The sequence below is a fragment of the Homo sapiens genome, chromosome X, assembly GCF_000001405.40.
Source record: "Homo sapiens chromosome X, GRCh38.p14 Primary Assembly".
NCBI classification, from domain to species: domain Eukaryota; kingdom Metazoa; phylum Chordata; class Mammalia; order Primates; family Hominidae; genus Homo; species Homo sapiens.
The window spans coordinates 51092844-51110573 of NC_000023.11; the positions used below are offsets into that span (position 1 = coordinate 51092844).

The 17730-nt window shown below is 40.8% G+C and overlaps 1 long non-coding RNA gene across 1 annotated transcript in view; it reads right to left on the reverse strand.

Moving 5' to 3' along the window:
* Positions 1 to 2992: 2992 nt before the first annotated feature.
* The window catches only part of LINC01284 (long intergenic non-protein coding RNA 1284), a 75586-nt gene continuing 60848 nt past the window's right edge, over positions 2993 to 17730 (reverse strand). Inside the window, exons 2-9 of the long non-coding RNA NR_110382.2 lie at positions 16108 to 16129; positions 13826 to 13903; positions 8714 to 8774; positions 8568 to 8603; positions 8426 to 8487; positions 8211 to 8305; positions 5055 to 5207; positions 2993 to 3154 (exon numbers count right to left, since the gene is read on the reverse strand). This is a non-coding gene — a long non-coding RNA (long intergenic non-protein coding RNA 1284). The remainder of the gene's footprint in view (positions 3155 to 5054; positions 5208 to 8210; positions 8306 to 8425; positions 8488 to 8567; positions 8604 to 8713; positions 8775 to 13825; positions 13904 to 16107; positions 16130 to 17730) is intronic.

Genomic DNA, 17730 nt, shown 5'->3' on the forward strand with positions numbered 1-17730 from the left:
GAGTAAAGGAAAGATCATGAACCTCGTGATGAAGGCTTTAATGGATAAGGAATGACTGGGAGATTGGTAAATTATAGCAACCAGGAGTAGTAGAGGGTGGTAAAGGTAAGTGGTGTGAGTCTTAGAAAGACAGGGGCATTGTACATAGGGTCAGAAAAGTAATGGTTAGGAGTAATCATCTCTTATGTTTTAAAATATTAGACAAAATGTGAGACTGGTGATATTTTGACTAGAAGTCACATGACCTAGATTCTAACACAACTCTGCTACAGAACAACTGAAGGAGTCGTAAGAGGGCCCTCTGTCTTTCTCTGTGCCTGGTTTCTGATTCATTCATTCACTCACCCATTCCATGAACACTTATGGAAAGCCCACATTCTCCTAAGCATGGGGACATCGTGATAAGCAAAGCCACAACAACCTTCACAGGGCTGTAGAGTAGCAGAGCAGATTTAATCAAAGAATTGTGTAGTAGAAGTATAGCCAATACCAGAAATAAGTGATCTGAAGTGAAGGACCAGAACTCATTGAAGGTATATTACAAAGAACCTAACTTCTTTTACGGAATTAAGAAAATCTTCCCTAAGAAATTCCTGTTCTGAGAGCTGAAGGATAAATAAGGGTTCACCAGGTAGGGGACGGGGCATCTTGGGTGGAAGAGATCAGGTTGCACTAGAGAAACCCTCTGAGGGTTCATGCACAGACTACAGAGGGTCAGGGGGCTGGGATGCAGGAGTCACTGGAGAGGTGGGGACCATCCAGACCTTCCAAGTCCTTTAGAGCCAATACAGCTCATGGTCACCCAATGTTCGTCCTGCCTTCTCTCTCATGATAAGACAATAAGCTGAATGTGCAATGAATCAGTCAAGGTAGAAAAGCTAAACAAGTTGCCAAGGTCACACAGCTACTTGCTTTAAAATATTTTAAGTGAGATATGATTCATATATTATAAAATTCACCATTTTAAGTATATACCTGAGTGGTTTTTAGTATATTTGTAAGGTTCCAAAACCATCAATAGAAGCCCTTGTTTTTAGGCACTACTTACTTTGGCCTCTTTTAACCTCCAGAAGAGATCATTTACATATATATATATATAATTTTACATTTTAAATATATATTGTTTAATATTTTATATCTATTAAGTATATTATATATTGTTTAATATTTTATATTTATTAAATATATATAATACATATAATATTTATGTGTTTAAGTGTGGCAAAACATTCACACAATAAAGCGCATGACTTTTTTTTTCTTCAACTTTTATTTTAAGTTCAGAAGTACATGTGCAGGATGTGCAGGTTCATTACATAGGTAAACTTGTGCCATGGTGATTTGCTGCACGGATCATCCCATCACCTAGGTATTAAGCCTGGCATCCATTAGCTATTCTTCCTGATGCTCTCTCGCCTGCCACACCTTCCTCTGACAGCCTCTACTGTGTGTTGTTCCCTCCCATGTGTCCATGTGTTCTCGTCACTCAGCTCCCACTTATAAGTGAGAATATGTAGTGTTTGGTTTTCTGTTCCTTCATTAGTTTGCTGAGGATAATGTCTTCCAACTCCATCCATGTCCCTGCAAAGGGCATGATCTCATTCCTTTTAATGGCTACATGGTGTATATGTACAACATTTTCTTTATCCAGTCTGTCATTGATGGTGCTTAGGTTGATTCCATGTCTTTGCTATTGTGAATAGTGCTGCAATGAACATACACATGCATGTATCTTTATAACAGAATGATTTAAATTCCTTTGGGTATACACCCAGTAGCGAGATTGCTGGATCAAATGGTATTTCTGTCTCTAGGTCTTTGAGGAATTGTCACACTGTCTTCCACAATGGTTGAACTAACTTACACTCCCACCAACAGTGTAAAAGTGGACCTAAACTATACCCTACAATAAATGGACTTAACAGATATTTACAGAACATTCTACCCAACAGCTGCAGAATATACATTCTATTCATCAGAACATGGAACATTCTCCAAGATAGACCATATGATAGGCCACAAAACAAGTCTCAGTAAATTTAAGAAAATCGAAATTATATAAAATACTCTCTCAGACCACAGTGGAATGAAATTAGAAATGAACTATAAAAGGAACCCTCAAAACCACAGAAATACATGGAAATTAAATAACCTGCTCCCGAATGATCATTGGGTCAAAAATGAAATCAAGATGGAAATTAAAAAATTCTTTGAACAATAATAGTGATACAACCTATCCCCTCACCTGGGCCTTTGCTCCCTGCTCTCTCTTTCTCTGCTTCTCTCTGCTTCCTCCTTTTCCCCTCCTTTCTCTCTCTCTGCCCTTCCCGCTACCCCCTTTCTCTTCCCCACCCCCATTCTCTCTCTGCCTGTTCCTTTCTCTTACAAACCTCACCCCCTACACTCTGTGTTCCTTTCCAGCCCTGTTCAGAGGGAGCCTCTCACGACTGACCTCTGCACATCCCACAATTTGAAAATTATAGAAAGATGGTGAGGGGGACACAAAACTTATTGAGAAATGTCTGCTCTCCGCTCAGCTTCTGTCAGACCTACCTGCATTTGGTGCTACTAGGGGCAGCTGGTTCAGTGGGGATAGGGCTCTGACAAACCCTGAGCTTCTGCAGGGTCTCATCACTGGCTCCACAGCCACTGCTGGTCCCTCTTCTATTCCCTATTAAGATAAATCAGCCACCTCATGGGGATACATTCCTGTCCATCTTATCACAAGGAACCCCTGTGACTGGCAGGCATCAGGTGCCCAATGACTATTTCTAAAATGAATGAGCACAATCTCCACTCATGGCTTGATGCGGGACATTTCCCCACCCCAGAAAGCCCCCTTGGGGCCCTCCCAGTCGACACTACCCAAAGGGCAACCCTGCTTCTGCAGCCAGCACTGCAATATCTGCCTGGGTTTGAACAGTGTATGAGGAATCATACCTGGTACACCGGGGGGTCATCTGGTCCTCCAGAAAACAGACGCCCAAACAGATAGGACTGCAAACCTTTATTAGGGGAAACACTACAGAAGATTAGAGACAGATGAGGCAGCACTGGGCAGGCAGCGTAAAATGTATTGGATACTTTTCCAAGTTATGTAGGAGCCACAGCATGGCTGTCACAGCTCAGGGGCCTCTTCAAATTTCAGCTTGTCCTTTAAAGCAAAAAAAAAAAAAAAATTATTTCCATGTGATCTTCTTTTGTCTTATATACACTTTGTCTTCTATAAAATATCTGTGCCCCTGATAAATACTTCTGTGTGTGGCTGCATCTGTGTCTATATGCCATGGAAAGCAATTATCTATGGGTCTCAGGTATAGGTCTTACAGTTTAACTGTGTACACATTCTTATAATTATCTTTTCTTTTATCTGGTAGAATCTGAATTTTAATCGTGGAGACAGGGGCTTTGCCTTATCTTTTGAAACAGGGATTGGAAATCTCTGGGCCTGAGCTATTACAGCCTATGGTTTATCTAATGAACTTCAATGAACATCTTTTGATGATCTTCTGAGTGGGAATATTTTCATTTAAACAGTGAGGGGGTGAGTGTCTAACATCTGTCAGCTATTTTGGAAAATGCTTCCTTTATGGGCTTGGTCTCTTTGTCCTCACAATGACCTCATAAACCACATCATCCCCAGCTCATTTATAAGAAAGCTGAGGCCCTGAGCTCCACTGAAAGTTGGTATCTGGGCTCAGACAGCAGGGACAGAGGGAAGGGTGACAATTTTGCATGACAATGTTGGAGATGCAAAGCTGGGAGTCAGAGGTGAGAAGCAGAGGGTGCCAGGAATGAGCTGAGACCCGACCTGCCAGGGCAGCTCAGGATTGGCCTTCAGTTCCCCAGCAGAGTCGGTTTCATTCTGAAGGCCAAGGCCGCAGCTCCACTGAACCACTGTTAGTCTCCTTGAGCCATAATAAACTCAGGCAGATAGGGTCCCCTTATAGAACCAAGTTAAATTTCCCAGACCTCTAGGCATTCATTCACCCTGATCCAGAGCCTTCACACATCCAGGGAAAGAATCATCCTTCCCGCAGATAATGGACTAAAGGCTTTAGGGCAACAAGCAACTTCTGGGAAAGATAATTCTCTTGTCTACACTGTGCCATCTGAGCTCTCCCATAGTGGCTCTGTTGTGGCCCTCACGCAGCCGCCACGCTCCTGCTCACACTGCTTGCGCCTGCCAGAAGTGGCCTTCCAGCTCCACCTAAGTGAGTTCAACAAACCCCCATGTGACATCTCCCAACTTTATCTCTCTTCCATGCCCTCCTCTTTATTCCCAGGAGAATCTGTCTTCCTCTTTTGCATTCTGGGGCCCTTCACTCGTGCTTCCATTATGGATGGTCACAAGATCCCTGCCCTTTGGTGTGTGTCTCTCTGCTGTAGGACATAGGAAGCGCTGCAGGTCAAGGGTGCGTCTCATCCCTCACAGAGCTGGCCACATGGTCCAGGTTCCATACATGCCTGCAAAATTGGTATTTATGGCTTCTATAAGCAATCTCTTTCCTCATCTACAAGAGATACCTGCTGCCTTGCTTGTGATGGGGAGATGATGCAACCCACTTTGTGCCCTCAGAAACTTGAGAAAAGTAACCACGTCACTGAGTGCGGTGGCTCACGTCTGTAATCCCAGCACTTTGGGAGGCTGAGGCCGGCAGATCATCTGAGGTCAGGAGTTTGAGACCAGCCTGACCAACATGGAGAAACCCCGTCTCTACTAAAAATACAAAAAAATTAGCCCAGCATGGTGGCACATGCCTGTAATCCCAGCTACTTGGGAGGCTGAGGCAGGAGAATCTCTTGAACCTGGGAGGTGGAGGTTTTGGTGAGCCAAGATTGCGCCATTGCACTCCAGCCTGGGCAACAAGAGTGAAACTCTGTCTCAAAAATAAATAAATAAATAAATAAAATAGCCATGTCCCCAGCCAGTGTTACCCTCGTATTGCAAAGTCCTGCAGTACCATCTGTGACATTTCTTTCTACTCATTCAATGAGGAGAAAAAAGATGAATCCGCTTTAAAAGTCAGTCCATACTTTTCAGATCAACATACCAAGTGGTGTGCATGGAGGCAGTGGTCGTGTTCCCAGAGGCCACCCAGGCAGAGGAGGTGTCTGGCAGCCCACAAATGGTCCTGAAGAGCCAGCCATGCAGTAGAGCAAGTAGGGCAATCCTGAAAAAGGGGCCCTCCCAAAGCCATATTGACCTGCAGAGCAGAAGGAAGAAAAGTTTCAAAATGCATTAATATGATGGACAAAAACACCAACACCAACACCAACCCCATGCAGCAGGTGACAGTCCCTGGCACCTTTCTTTCCTCCAGATTTCAAAATAGCAGTGTCAGTGCCAAAAAATCTCCCTTCTACTGAGTCCTGAGGACAGCTGGGGTGTGAAGGGAAGCCATGAGGATAACCTGCTGTCACCACATGCCACTGTGTCTGTCTGCAAATGCAGGCACTCTGGGTCCTGTTCCAGGGAAGACAGAGCCATTACACAGTAATAAAAAAGCATATTCCAGACACATGAGTGTCCAGCCCAGGTATACTCCCATCCCTCCCTCACCACCATCACTGAAGTTGGTTCCTTGCATATGATGAACAGAAAGAAAAGGAGGAATGAAAAGTCCATTATTCATACAAGAATCACAGCTACTCTTGGGAGAACTTTGTATAGGCCTTTTATGTCCTATCTCTGATTCTCAGAATGCTGCAAGGTCAGTGTGGCCACTCTGCACTAAATCGAAAGAAAGAGGATCCCAGAGGAAGGAGAGAATTTACCCAGGGTCACACAGCTTGCAAGAGGCAGAGTGGAAATTGATCCCATCTCTACCTGTAAGACCCTCTTGTCCCCCTCTGCCTCCCTTCCTGACAAAGGGTCTTCTCTACTCTGGAGGTACAACCTGTGGGCACAAAAAGCTCTGGGGAGATATGAATTACTGAGGTCCTGCAGGGGAACTGGGAAAGGATTTTCTGATAGAACAATCTAATCTATAGAAGTCAGTTAGGCACAGCTATAATATTTATTTTAACTCACAGGTATTACCAAATTTTAAATGCACTATGACATAAAGAACAATTTTGTCCATGGAAAAATGAGATGGGAGTTCTAAATAACAGAATTAAAACAACCGTGACTTAATTTCAAGTGCAGAAATCCTGTCATGTGTGATCGGAGGACTCACCAGCTGTGAAAGCTACAGGGACCACATGAGAAACAGCTTAGCTGACCATAATTTAAGGCCTTTGTTGGGAATTGTCCTTGTAGGTAATTAGTGACTTTCACTCTTCACTATCTCACATCCAGTGTACATTTTCTATTACAAATATAAAACCTCTGACAACTAGAATGTTCGATCAAGGGCACCACTGGATGGAGACGGGGCATTTTTGCATAGCAAAGTTGCCAAGAGAGATGGGACAGTGATGAATTATGGAATTTGCTTTGTCAAAGAGCATTCAGAATTGCACAAAACACATATTAATACTGGATGAATGAGTTTTCATATTTTTCACTTATGGGGGTTACAGCAGATATTCTAAAAGTTAGTCACCTACCCCATAGAATTAAATAACAGCAACAAAATATCCCCATATATTTGGGGAGGGGACCCAGCAACATCTTGAGTAAAAAGGATCAGTCAGGGTCTACTGGGCCATGAGACCGATAGCAGTGGAGTTAAGTGGCATCTTCTCATGTTATTTCTGGAAATAGAACAGTTAAAGCTCTTCAGCCTTTGGCCCTTAAGCATTTATGGTCTCTGGAAGTGCCACCAAAGATGACCAGCTGGGAATGGAGAAGACTGAAGCCTCGTGGAGAATATTTTGCTTTTTAAAAAGTAAAGAGACAGAAAAGTTACCACAGAACACACAAACCAGAGACAAGGCCAGGAGAGGGTGCTATATGAAAAGACAAAAGTGTCCTGAAATAGGCACAGTGAAAATGACCACAGCATTTACCTTTATCTCCTCTGTGCTCTCAGTTGGGATGCAGCTGCTGTTCCTCATGGGAACCAAATAAGGTCCTGAATCTGCTAAGGGCCAGAGAAGGGATCGGGGCTTATTCTGGCTTGCATGTTCTTTGCAGAATAAGAATCCCTCCATGTCCACCTCTGCCATGTCACTGTCTTTGTCACAGTCAGGTCCCTTACCAGAGTTACAGACTTTATTAACCAGATGCCACAGAGGACCCTGGAACTCTCTGGACCCTTGTCCTTGAGAAGGACACCACAGAGCCCTGGTCTTAACAAATCAACTAACTGCGAACAGGTAGGTCTCGAACTAGCTGGAAATCAACTGTAAATCAGAAGTTCCCAGTGCATATCAGAGGGAACTACTTATAAATTAAGCACAGACTAAAAATTAAAATAGGAGCATTCAAGGATAAAAAGAATATCAATAAACCCTGGACAGGAATAGCACTGCTCCTTTTTTTCAAGCCATAGAGACATTCACAATTCTTTGGATTCATATTTAATCTAACTTCCATATCAGACCAGGTATTATAAATATTAATGAACAGAAATAACTTAAAGAGACTAACAGTAATGAGAAAAGGTAAGAACTATGGGAATTAACTGTAAAGTTTTAGGGTTACACTTAAAATGTTAGAGGAGTAAAACTGCATAGAAATTTATTACTAATGGAATTGTATAGTTCACAATAAACAATTTAAACAAACAAAAATAATAAAGGATGCTCCAAAAATAGTAAATAAATGCCTCTTTTCCTAAAACATATCTCATTGTACAATATTGATTCATGAAGACATAGCAATAAAATTTCCTCTCTCATTAGGACATACAGTTCCAATTCTAAAATGTTATTGGTGTTGCTTTTATCAAATGAAAGAAAAATAAAGCCTTCACTCTGACGCAAGGTGAGAAGTGGAGCTGGCTCATTTCCCTTCTAGGCTCATCACCTCTGTTAAAAGTAACCAAAAGCTCAGGATGGGGTGGTGTCCACAGTCAGTGGAGGGGACTGAGCTCCACCATTCATGGGGGACTGGACGAGAGCCATTTGTCTGGGGCATTTGAGGAAAATTGTGTCCTGACACCCAGTGAGACAACTGCTCTCTTTAGTAAGTGCTTGAAACTCTTTCCAGGAAACATAACAATTACCCTCCACCCTGACCCCTCACCCCCAAAAGGAGAAGCAGAGTGTGTGGATTGTACAGCAGAAGTTACATGGCTGCCTTCACAGTGAGCTCCTACCTCTTTGGGGATGATTCTCTATGCCTGGTTGTCCACTAGCTGGCTCCTGACTAATGTGTCTCTCCAGCACTCTCTGTTTTTCAATCATTTCCTATCTTGGAGATAGAGAAAGAATGAACTTAAATAAGAATTAAAACACCAAGTTCTTTACTAGATACTCAAAGCTTTGTCTTAAAACAAAAACATCCTTAGAAATGTCCATCACAATTACCTACCTGTGCTGCTTGTAGGCAGCCTTCTTCTCTTGCATCTCCCTCTGCGAGGCTTAAACACAGAGCTGTGGGGGAGAAAAATACATCCACGTCCTGACCTGGCAGATTATGTCCAAAAGCAAGGAAAGAAAAAAAAAAAACTTACCCAGTTGTCGTAAGCCTTTCTTTCAGAAGTGGCGATCTGAAAAAGCCAACACATGAGAAACCATATGTTTAAGGAGTCTAAGGGCCATGAGATCATTTGCATCAGCGCTGAAGGATTCTGCAACTGCTGGGAAGAAGGCTCCTTACCTGGCATCTGTAGTAGTCTTCTACCCAATTCTGCTGCTCTTCTGTGTCTTCCATCATTTTCCTATGGTTTAGAATCACTTTTATCAGGTAAAGTGCCATTTTAAGTATGATTTTAAATAAACTGCCATGTTCCTGTTATCCTCACAACTGTACCCTTACACAATCTATCCATAGATAGAAAACGCATTCCACATGGTTATAAAAATACAGTACTATAAAAAACTGTTGCTATATTGATTCCTTATCTATTATTTAATGCCTGCTGGGTTCTGAGTTGGCAATTTCCTTACCTACTCTCAGTATGTCCTTAATTTATCCTTCATTGAGCATCACTTATCATAAATCTCTATTCTCCTTGTACTAATATCCTTACCATATTTCACAGGGAAGAACAACTGGGCTTATAAACAGGCACAGTCCTTTTTAAGGATGTGATTGATCCTACAACAATGCACTTTCCTAAGGATGATGACAATCATCCCTAGAAAAGTTTGCGTAAACTGAGTTTCAACACAGTCTGCCCAGCATTGGAGTCAGGAAACGTTTTATTACTTCACAGTTTTTGGTCACTGGTAAATCTCTTTTTTTTTTTTTTTTTTTTTTTTTGAGACGGAGTCTTGCTCTGTTGCCCAAGGCTAGAGTGCAGTGGTGCGATCTCGCCTCACTACAAGCTCTGCCTCCGGGATTCATGCCATTCTTCTGCCTCAGCCTCCTGAGTAGCTGGGACCACAGGCGCCCGCCACCACGCCCGGCTAATTTTTTGTATTTTTAGTAGAGACGGGGTTTCACCATGTTAGCCAGGATGGTCTCAATCTCCTGACCTCATGATCCGCCCGCCTCGGCCTCCCAAAGTGCTGGGAATACAGGCATGAGCCACTGCGCCTGGCCAGTCATTGGTAAATCTTAAAGTACTTTGTTTTCTCTTGTGTGAATTTTCTCTCTCTCTCAATATGTCTTCTGACCATTTGTTTATCTTTCTGTGTTAATTGGGTATAAACATTGTACAAAGGTTAAAAACAAAATACTCCAACAGGGGTTTCCCAAGAGGTTGGTATTGAGTCTCTGAAGTCACTTGTAGGTGTGTATTTCCTCAATTACTAATTTCAAGCTTCCCTGCGCCTCTGACAACTGCCTCTCCTTTGCTGCTCGCTCACGTTCTTTCATCTCAGCTTCCTGAGATGAGAAAGGAAAGAAATGTATGCACATGATCCAGTAGCCAGTGTGGGATTCTTTCTTCCCTTCCAGCATCTGAAGACTGTGATTAAAAGGTCCTTTGCCAATCTTCCCATATATATACCAACAGATCTTCATAATGAGAGGGAGAATGGAAGCCTCCCATTGAGGGACAAAAAAAAAAAAAAAAATTCACACTCTGGCCTGCTGGCAAGTCCTCTGTAATTTCCAGCTCCTCTTCATAGCTCTATACTCCTACTCACTAGTAAGTAAATCAAGGACTATAAAAAGCTTCTATGAGATGCACTATGTGTCCTTCTGGGGTCAGTCTTGTGCTTGACACAGTGAAAGCTCATTTTAGTTCAATGTGGAAAACCAGACCTGACCAACTCATCACAACTAAATCAATCAGGATGGAGCAGAGGATCATTCTTTGTCTGACTCCTCCCATGGGGAGACCTGATTCTCAGTCAGAGGCTGGTGCCAGAACCCAGACAATCAGCCTTAGAGAGATCCTTCCAGGATATGGTGTCATTAACCCTGTAGTTCACCACTGCACGTTTCCATGATTCAGAATTGGAACTCTTGTCATCGACTTCAAAGATTCTGGTTGACAGAAAAGGTAAATCTGAGTGCTGGGCACATCTACTGAATCAAAAATAATCTGAGTGGCTCCTTAGTCAGGGTGTTATGTCCTGGAAATAGGTGATAACTGCAAACCATCAACCCTGGTGTTGATCGAGTTTAACAAGGTTCAGTTCATCGATAGTGGAGGCAGAAAATGGCAATAGCCTAAAAAGATAGGTTTGCTGTGTTGCCCTCACACTACTTCATTCACGACTCTGATTCAAAGGATCTCATTTGAGAATTGATTTCATATGAAGGACACGTAAAATTCGCCAAACTTTAGGAAACAGGGACAAAGACACTTTAAAGAGAAAGTGAATGCACTTGTTTCTGAATACCTAAGCCATCCTTCAGCACATGCTGTCTGGAGTAGCCCAAAGCAAGGAGTTTGTTGTGAGGTACTGATGATGCAAGGGGAGCAGGGACTTGTTCCCACCCTAAAGGAGCTCACAGTTTAATGCAAATGAGAAGCCAGTGAGAACATCATTACCCCTGCTGTGCTCTTGAGAACTAGGAACACAAAACATGAATCTTAAGAAAAGCAAAGGAGAAGTTCTGCTTTTGAGTGGGGATGAGTGCATCTGAAGCTTCTGATCTCCCACGAGAACAATGGAGAACACCAGACAGAATATAAAACACATGATTGAATGCATCCAATTGCTAACATGGCATTAAAGGACATGAGGACAAGATGGATAAGAAAACCTAGGACAAAGGTCAGCCCAGCATTCGGGGCCCATTTCCCTGAGTTTCACTGCTTAATTCCAGAAGGGACTACTGAGATGTAAAGAAGCAGAGCACCCTTTGCACACTGCATGGGATTGGATGGAAAACAAGTGGAGTTGAGGGTCTTCCATTGAAGGTGACCCCTACTAAAGTCCAGTAGCTTTGGTTGGGACCCAGAAGAGTCACACGCTAGGAATAAAGGTGGACAGGAAATACATTTGCCTTTATAAGGACTGAGCCTTCACTGATGACCTCAATTGCTGACTGGATAAAGGGAGTCCAGGTCTGCTAGTACCCCTGACCATTCACCAGAAGTAGACTCCCATTTTTTCTGCAGGATAACATCCAACTAGGCCTCAGTTTGTTTCTGAATATTTTTTACAGTGTCTCACATTTAATAAAAAATGATTAGCCATATGGCAGGAAAAATGCAATGTAATATGACCAAAACCTAAAGGACTATGAAAATAGATCTAAAGGTGACCCAGGTATTCAATGTAAAGACGTCAGTACCAGTTCCTCCTCTTCTACCTAATCAATTACAAACAAGAATGTATGAAGGGAAAGGAAATATGCAGATTACAGAAATCATGGCAGGAAGGACAAGCACAATTTTCTAAAGACTTAATTTGCCACAAATATTGCATAAAATATTTTAAAGGAAATTATAATTGTCTCCTTTGGTTGACACATGGTTCATACAACAGCATTTGTGTCAATGAACACATTGACATCTTACTCTTCCTCAGTAGTCGTTCTTTGTCTGTAGATTTTGTAAACACTATCTACTTTCATCTTCATCTTTTTTATTTCAGGTTGCACTTCTGCTTCCATAGAACTTCGTGAAGCAAAGAGGACTTTCTGGTCATTTTTCATTCCTGGAAAGGATAAAACCATTTTCTTTGTGTGCATGCATGTGTACCTGAGACCTTGGTTAGGGTGGGGAGAGGAGAAGGTGAGAAATCTGAAGGCAGGAAGCTGTTCTTCACCATCCCAGGGCAAACTCATTTCCATGCTATCGGGACTCCATCAAATAGTAAACCTTCCAGCTTATGATTATTGGACCTCCAGGGTCTCAGCTGTAAATCTTTGAATCTGTCATTTACATTTTGTGACTTTAAGACAGATTTGAGAAAAGACATTTAAGAAATAATAATTGTACAACAACATGAATATACTTAACACAACTGAACTGTACACTAAAACATGGTTAAGATGGTAATTATTATGTTATGAATATTTTACCACAGGTAAAAATGTTTAACAATTTGAAAAGCAAGTAATTATACTTAGCTCTCTGAGTTCTATAATTTGTAACATTTCACCACCTGCTCCTTCTTGATCTTCAGCGGAGTACCTCCCTTCTGTCCCTGCCCTACTTCAGATTCCACTTTCCCTTCCCTGACACCACCTTCATTAAGGCCAGTTTGAACCTGATGCGAAATATTCTCACTAATGACTTAATTTCCACAAACAAAGAATTCCATGTGGATATCATATGATTTTAATCTTCTAAGACATGAAATATTTGTTCTCCTCATAGCTAAGATGCAATGAAAGTCTTGTGGCAGATGTGGGTCATTTACCTCTGAAATTCCTGAGGTATTCATTGAAATAACATCTTTCAAGTTCTTTGTAGAATTTTGTTTCCAACTTTTGCATATAGGATAGAAGCAAAACATGTACCAGGATTTCAGTAGATGCACCAAATGGTCTGCTAAAAAGATGAAACAGCAACCATGCCTATCCCACAGCTACTGCTATATTTCATGGGGAAGTAGCTGGCCCAGTATGAGGATAGGAGAAATGTTGAGCACATTTATAAATGAAGAGCAAAGAAACACCATGAGGCATGAACATTTTGTGGCACCCATGATATTCCTGCTTACAAGATAATGGGATAAGTGAGTAGATGACAAGGAGAAAGTAGAGACAATGCGAAATTGTTCAAGTCAAACAGCTCAACTGAACTTTTCTTAATGGAATATTTAAAAAGAGGCACGTAAAGAAAAACTTCCCCCAATTCACACTGAAACATTCTCTGTTCAGCACTAAGTGGGGTAGGGACTGTTCAATGTGCCTAGATATCTTCATCACTCATATATTTTCTGTTTTCTGTATATCTTGAAGGGCAGTGCCAAATAATGTGACAATTACCTATATTGTAAAAATAAAACACACTTCCTATTCCCTTTAATATAAAAAGTCATTGTGGTATTAGTACTTTTATTCCAGGTCATTGTTCAGAAGAAGGTTCAGCCCCCAGACACCCACACTTTTACTGTGGCGGGCAGCAAGATAAAATGTAGAGCTCAATTCACCCAATGGACAAAAAGGCTCAAAAGCCAAATTGAATCATGGTACAATTTAGCAGCCAAATTCTTATCAAGTTCAGACTTTTGACATGCTGATCCCTCTCAATTGCAACTGGGAACATGTACTTTGAATGACATCATTCAAAATGTTATTTTTCCTTCAAAGTTTTTGATGTTATCCTTCAATAAAACATATGAAATCATTAACAATTATTCATTACTCTTCTTTCTGTTTTTAGACTGTAATCCAGGCAAAAACAAGGGATTTTACCTTATACTTAAGCATTTCATCAGAGAGAATCTTGTGTTGTTTCTTAGTTTCTTGAGGATGTTTCTTTGATCCACTGATCTATATAAATATGTAATAAAAACCAGAATTTAAAAATATTATACTGCTAGAAAAACCTATCTTGAACTATGTAACTCCTAACACAAATGAAAACAACAGTACTTTACATATATGAAGCTTACTTTGAATGTGGACAGTTTATAGACCATATGAACTAGGACACTAAGTGAAAGGGGAAGGACCAAAATAACAGAATTGTGGGAGGTGGGAGCTATTTAAAGTGAAACCATGAAAAATTAAAAAATTGAAAAGACAATGATACTTTCTGTTCCCAAATGTATATTTCTTCTACAAGTTCTGACTTTTCCTTCTTGACATTAATCTTCTCAGAAACTGGTTGTAAATTAACTAAAAGAAGATAAAAACAATCTCTAAGATTAGGAAAACCTCATAAAATTGAATTACCCTAATGTATTAGCTGCAATCACACACTATCTGGCACTATGATCATAAAATAACTTTTTTTAGCTTTATTATTGCACTTGAAGATAGCAAGTTAGTTAATTGCTTTTTGAGCCTAAGAAAAGAAATATGAAAATAACAACCCTATTTCAATGAGAATCCTATTTGATAATTTTCCAAATATTGGGAAACATTTAGTCTTTGCCTAATTGCTCTCCATCAATAGCCACTATTCTTCTTGGAAAATTCCATCAGTTCAAACAGTTTTACCATCATCAGAGATGAAACACAGTGAAAATTAAATATCCTATCTATAACTCTTCTGTCCTCTAATTATCAAGGCAAATAAATAGGTCCCTTCAAAAAAGCCCCTCATTTTGGCAGGCTTGATTCACTTCCAGTCACTCTTTGCAATTCCATAGAAGGAACATTCAAAGTATCAACTGATTGGCTATTCAAAAGCCTCCAGTGTTCTCCTGCTGCCCAGCAGGCTGTCCTTCTTGAGAACCAGTGCAGGGGCTTCTGTGACGTGGTGTATGAAATCCAACAAGCTTAGGTACAATCTCAGGTTTACCACTTAGTCTCTCCAGGATCTGGATGATTCACAAGCCCTCTAAGACAAGCCTTTCATGCCCAGGATGAGAATGTCACCACCCACCATAGACATCAACAGCATGCAGGAAGCTCCCATCCTATAGGTGGAACATAAAACACTTGGCACACAGCCCACAATTCCAGACCCCACTGCCAGGCATTTAATCCTCTCATCTGACCCCAAAGTGCAATCTTCTTTTCTATTTGCCCATTGTAAGAGCTTTGCTGCCTTGAGGTCCCTCTTCTCAATACTACCAACGTTGTAATCACTGTAACCAACCCTAGCCTCTGAGGGCCTACTATGTGCCAGACAGTGCAGCTCTCAACAGACAGCAACAGGTAATCTTCACAGTCTATGAAGAATGTGCAGAATTCATTCTCCACATTGTACATCAAATTCATTTCCACATATTCTACATTGGCATTAATGGCCCTCTTCACTTAACACTCAAAACACATGTTATAAACCTCTAATATGATACACATTTTGTTCAGCAATATCTGGATTTTTCTCTAGGCTCAGGTAGTGTCTTAATCATCTTTCCATTTCTCCAAGAGCCAGGTCATGCAAAAGTATTCCTGCCACACTTCAAATTCATATCAGCACTTGCTTCTTAAATATTGCTGTGATAAGCTAAACTCATCCTATTCTCTCTACTCTTATGATCTCTTCCTCCTCCTACTCTCTTATCTCAATAAATGGTAACTCCATCTATGTTGTCATTTAGACTTTAACCCAGGAAGAGTAAAATTTTCAAGAAGTAAGAAGTCAACCGGATCAACCGGATATAAGGATTCATTGTATTTACTCCCAGTTGAATTTGAGCCCACATGAAATACTAGTGTGAGAAAATATTGAAAAGAAATAGACACGGCCAAGCACAGTGGCTCACACCTGTAATCCCAGCACTTTGGGAGGCCAAGGTGGGCAGGTCACGAGGTCAGGAGATTGAGACCATCCTGGCTAACACAGTGAAACGCCATCTCTACTAAAAATACGAAAAAAAAATTAGCTGGGCATGGTGGTGGGTGCCTGTAGTCCCAGCTACTTGGGAGGCTGAGGCAGGAGAATGATGTGAACCCCGGGAGGCAGAGCTTGCAGTGAGCCGAGATCATGCCACTGCATTCCAGCCTGGGCGACAGAGAGACTCCGTCTAAAAAAAAAAAAAAAAAAAAAAAGAAAAGAAATAGATACCTAAAAATCTTACCTTGATATACTGAAGGCCTTATCTGCAACAAGAAGAAAGAAAATCAAATTTTATATCAAATCATATTAAGAAATATTTATAGTTCTTGATAAAATAGCAAAACTTGTAATCCAATGAAATTATAATAATCATTTAGTTCAACATAATAACTTCATAGTGTTGACTCTCAGAAGACAATACTCCAGAAGATGATGCTTTGGCATACTCACGGCTTCGAATTAGTGGAGATTGTAAGGCCTCAGAAATAAGCCTCAGAACCCAAGGTCTCCTTCTGAACTTCTCCTACCCACTATATTGCTGATCCGTCCTGGAATCTCTAAGAGGGGCTTTTTCTGAAGTTTCTTTATCTAATTAATGGAAGTTCCTCCAGAAGAAATATAATTGTCTTAAAATTCCCTCCTAGGAATTTCATGAAGTAACCATGAAAGATTAATCACTGGAGAAGAGAAAAAATTAAAAGTCATTACCTTGCCTAGACATACTTTTCATTTATTCTTCAGAGAGCAGTTCCAAGAGATTACCTGGGACTTTATCTGCATCATAAGACAACCTTTGTTCAAAGTGCCATTCTGCCCCTCACCTTCTTGCAACTTGTCACCACCTCCCTCACATCTCAGAGGAACTTTGTCCCAGGCCAATTGTTTGTTGCTTGGGCTGTTTCATTTCCCCTAAAAATCATTTACTGCCCCTCTAAATTGCCTACGTCTCCATCTCCCTTTCCCCAGTGAAGAGGGTGCTGTTTAAGCTTTAACCTTCTGGCCCTTCTTGCAGTCTCACATTTTGTATATTTTGTATGGCTCTCATGTTTATGCCTGTTAATAAGTTTGTATGGTTTATCTTATCCTCTTAAGCTGTGTATTGTCAGTTCATGTCTGCAGTGAACCTTTGGAGAGGAGAGTGGAAGCTTTCCTTCCACCCATACAATAGAAATATAAATCAGAAAGGTTTAGAAAGGATTTCCTATTTAAGTGGTGACACTTCATAATCTATATCTGATAAAGAGCGCAAAGGTAAAAAACTTATTTTTGACCAAAAGATCTGTTTGCATTCTCTTAAACAAACACCTATCTATTTAATTTTTATAATGTAAATGGTTGTCATAATTATCATGCTAATAAATCATTTACCTGATTTTTGTGAAACTCAATATTCATAATGAAGTCCAAAACCATGAATTGTTTTAAATAATTTCTTTTTATTTATGATTAAGAGTATATCTCTACAGTAAGTTCATATACTCACACCAAGGATAGTTCTCCGAAAGAAAATGGCAAATGTAGAAATTCTCAGGAAGGCAGCAATAATTATTGGTTTCCCAGCTTAGATCCAGCTGGGAACAAGCTACATAAGCAAAAAACTCCATGGCTCAAACAGTTACACAATTTGCAGCTACCAAAGAAAAAAGTGATTATTCTCTCCTCAGTCAGTTGCTACGAGTAACACGTCTGCACAGCATATCAGAAGGATAGAAGAGAGCAAGAGCCCCCCCACACAGTCTCTCACACATGCATCCTCTGCAGATGTTAAAAAATCTCCATGGATTAGATGCTCATATTAGTAAGAATTTGAGAAACAGCAGAAATGAAGGACCATGGCAAAAAAAGGAAGATTAAAACAAGCAAG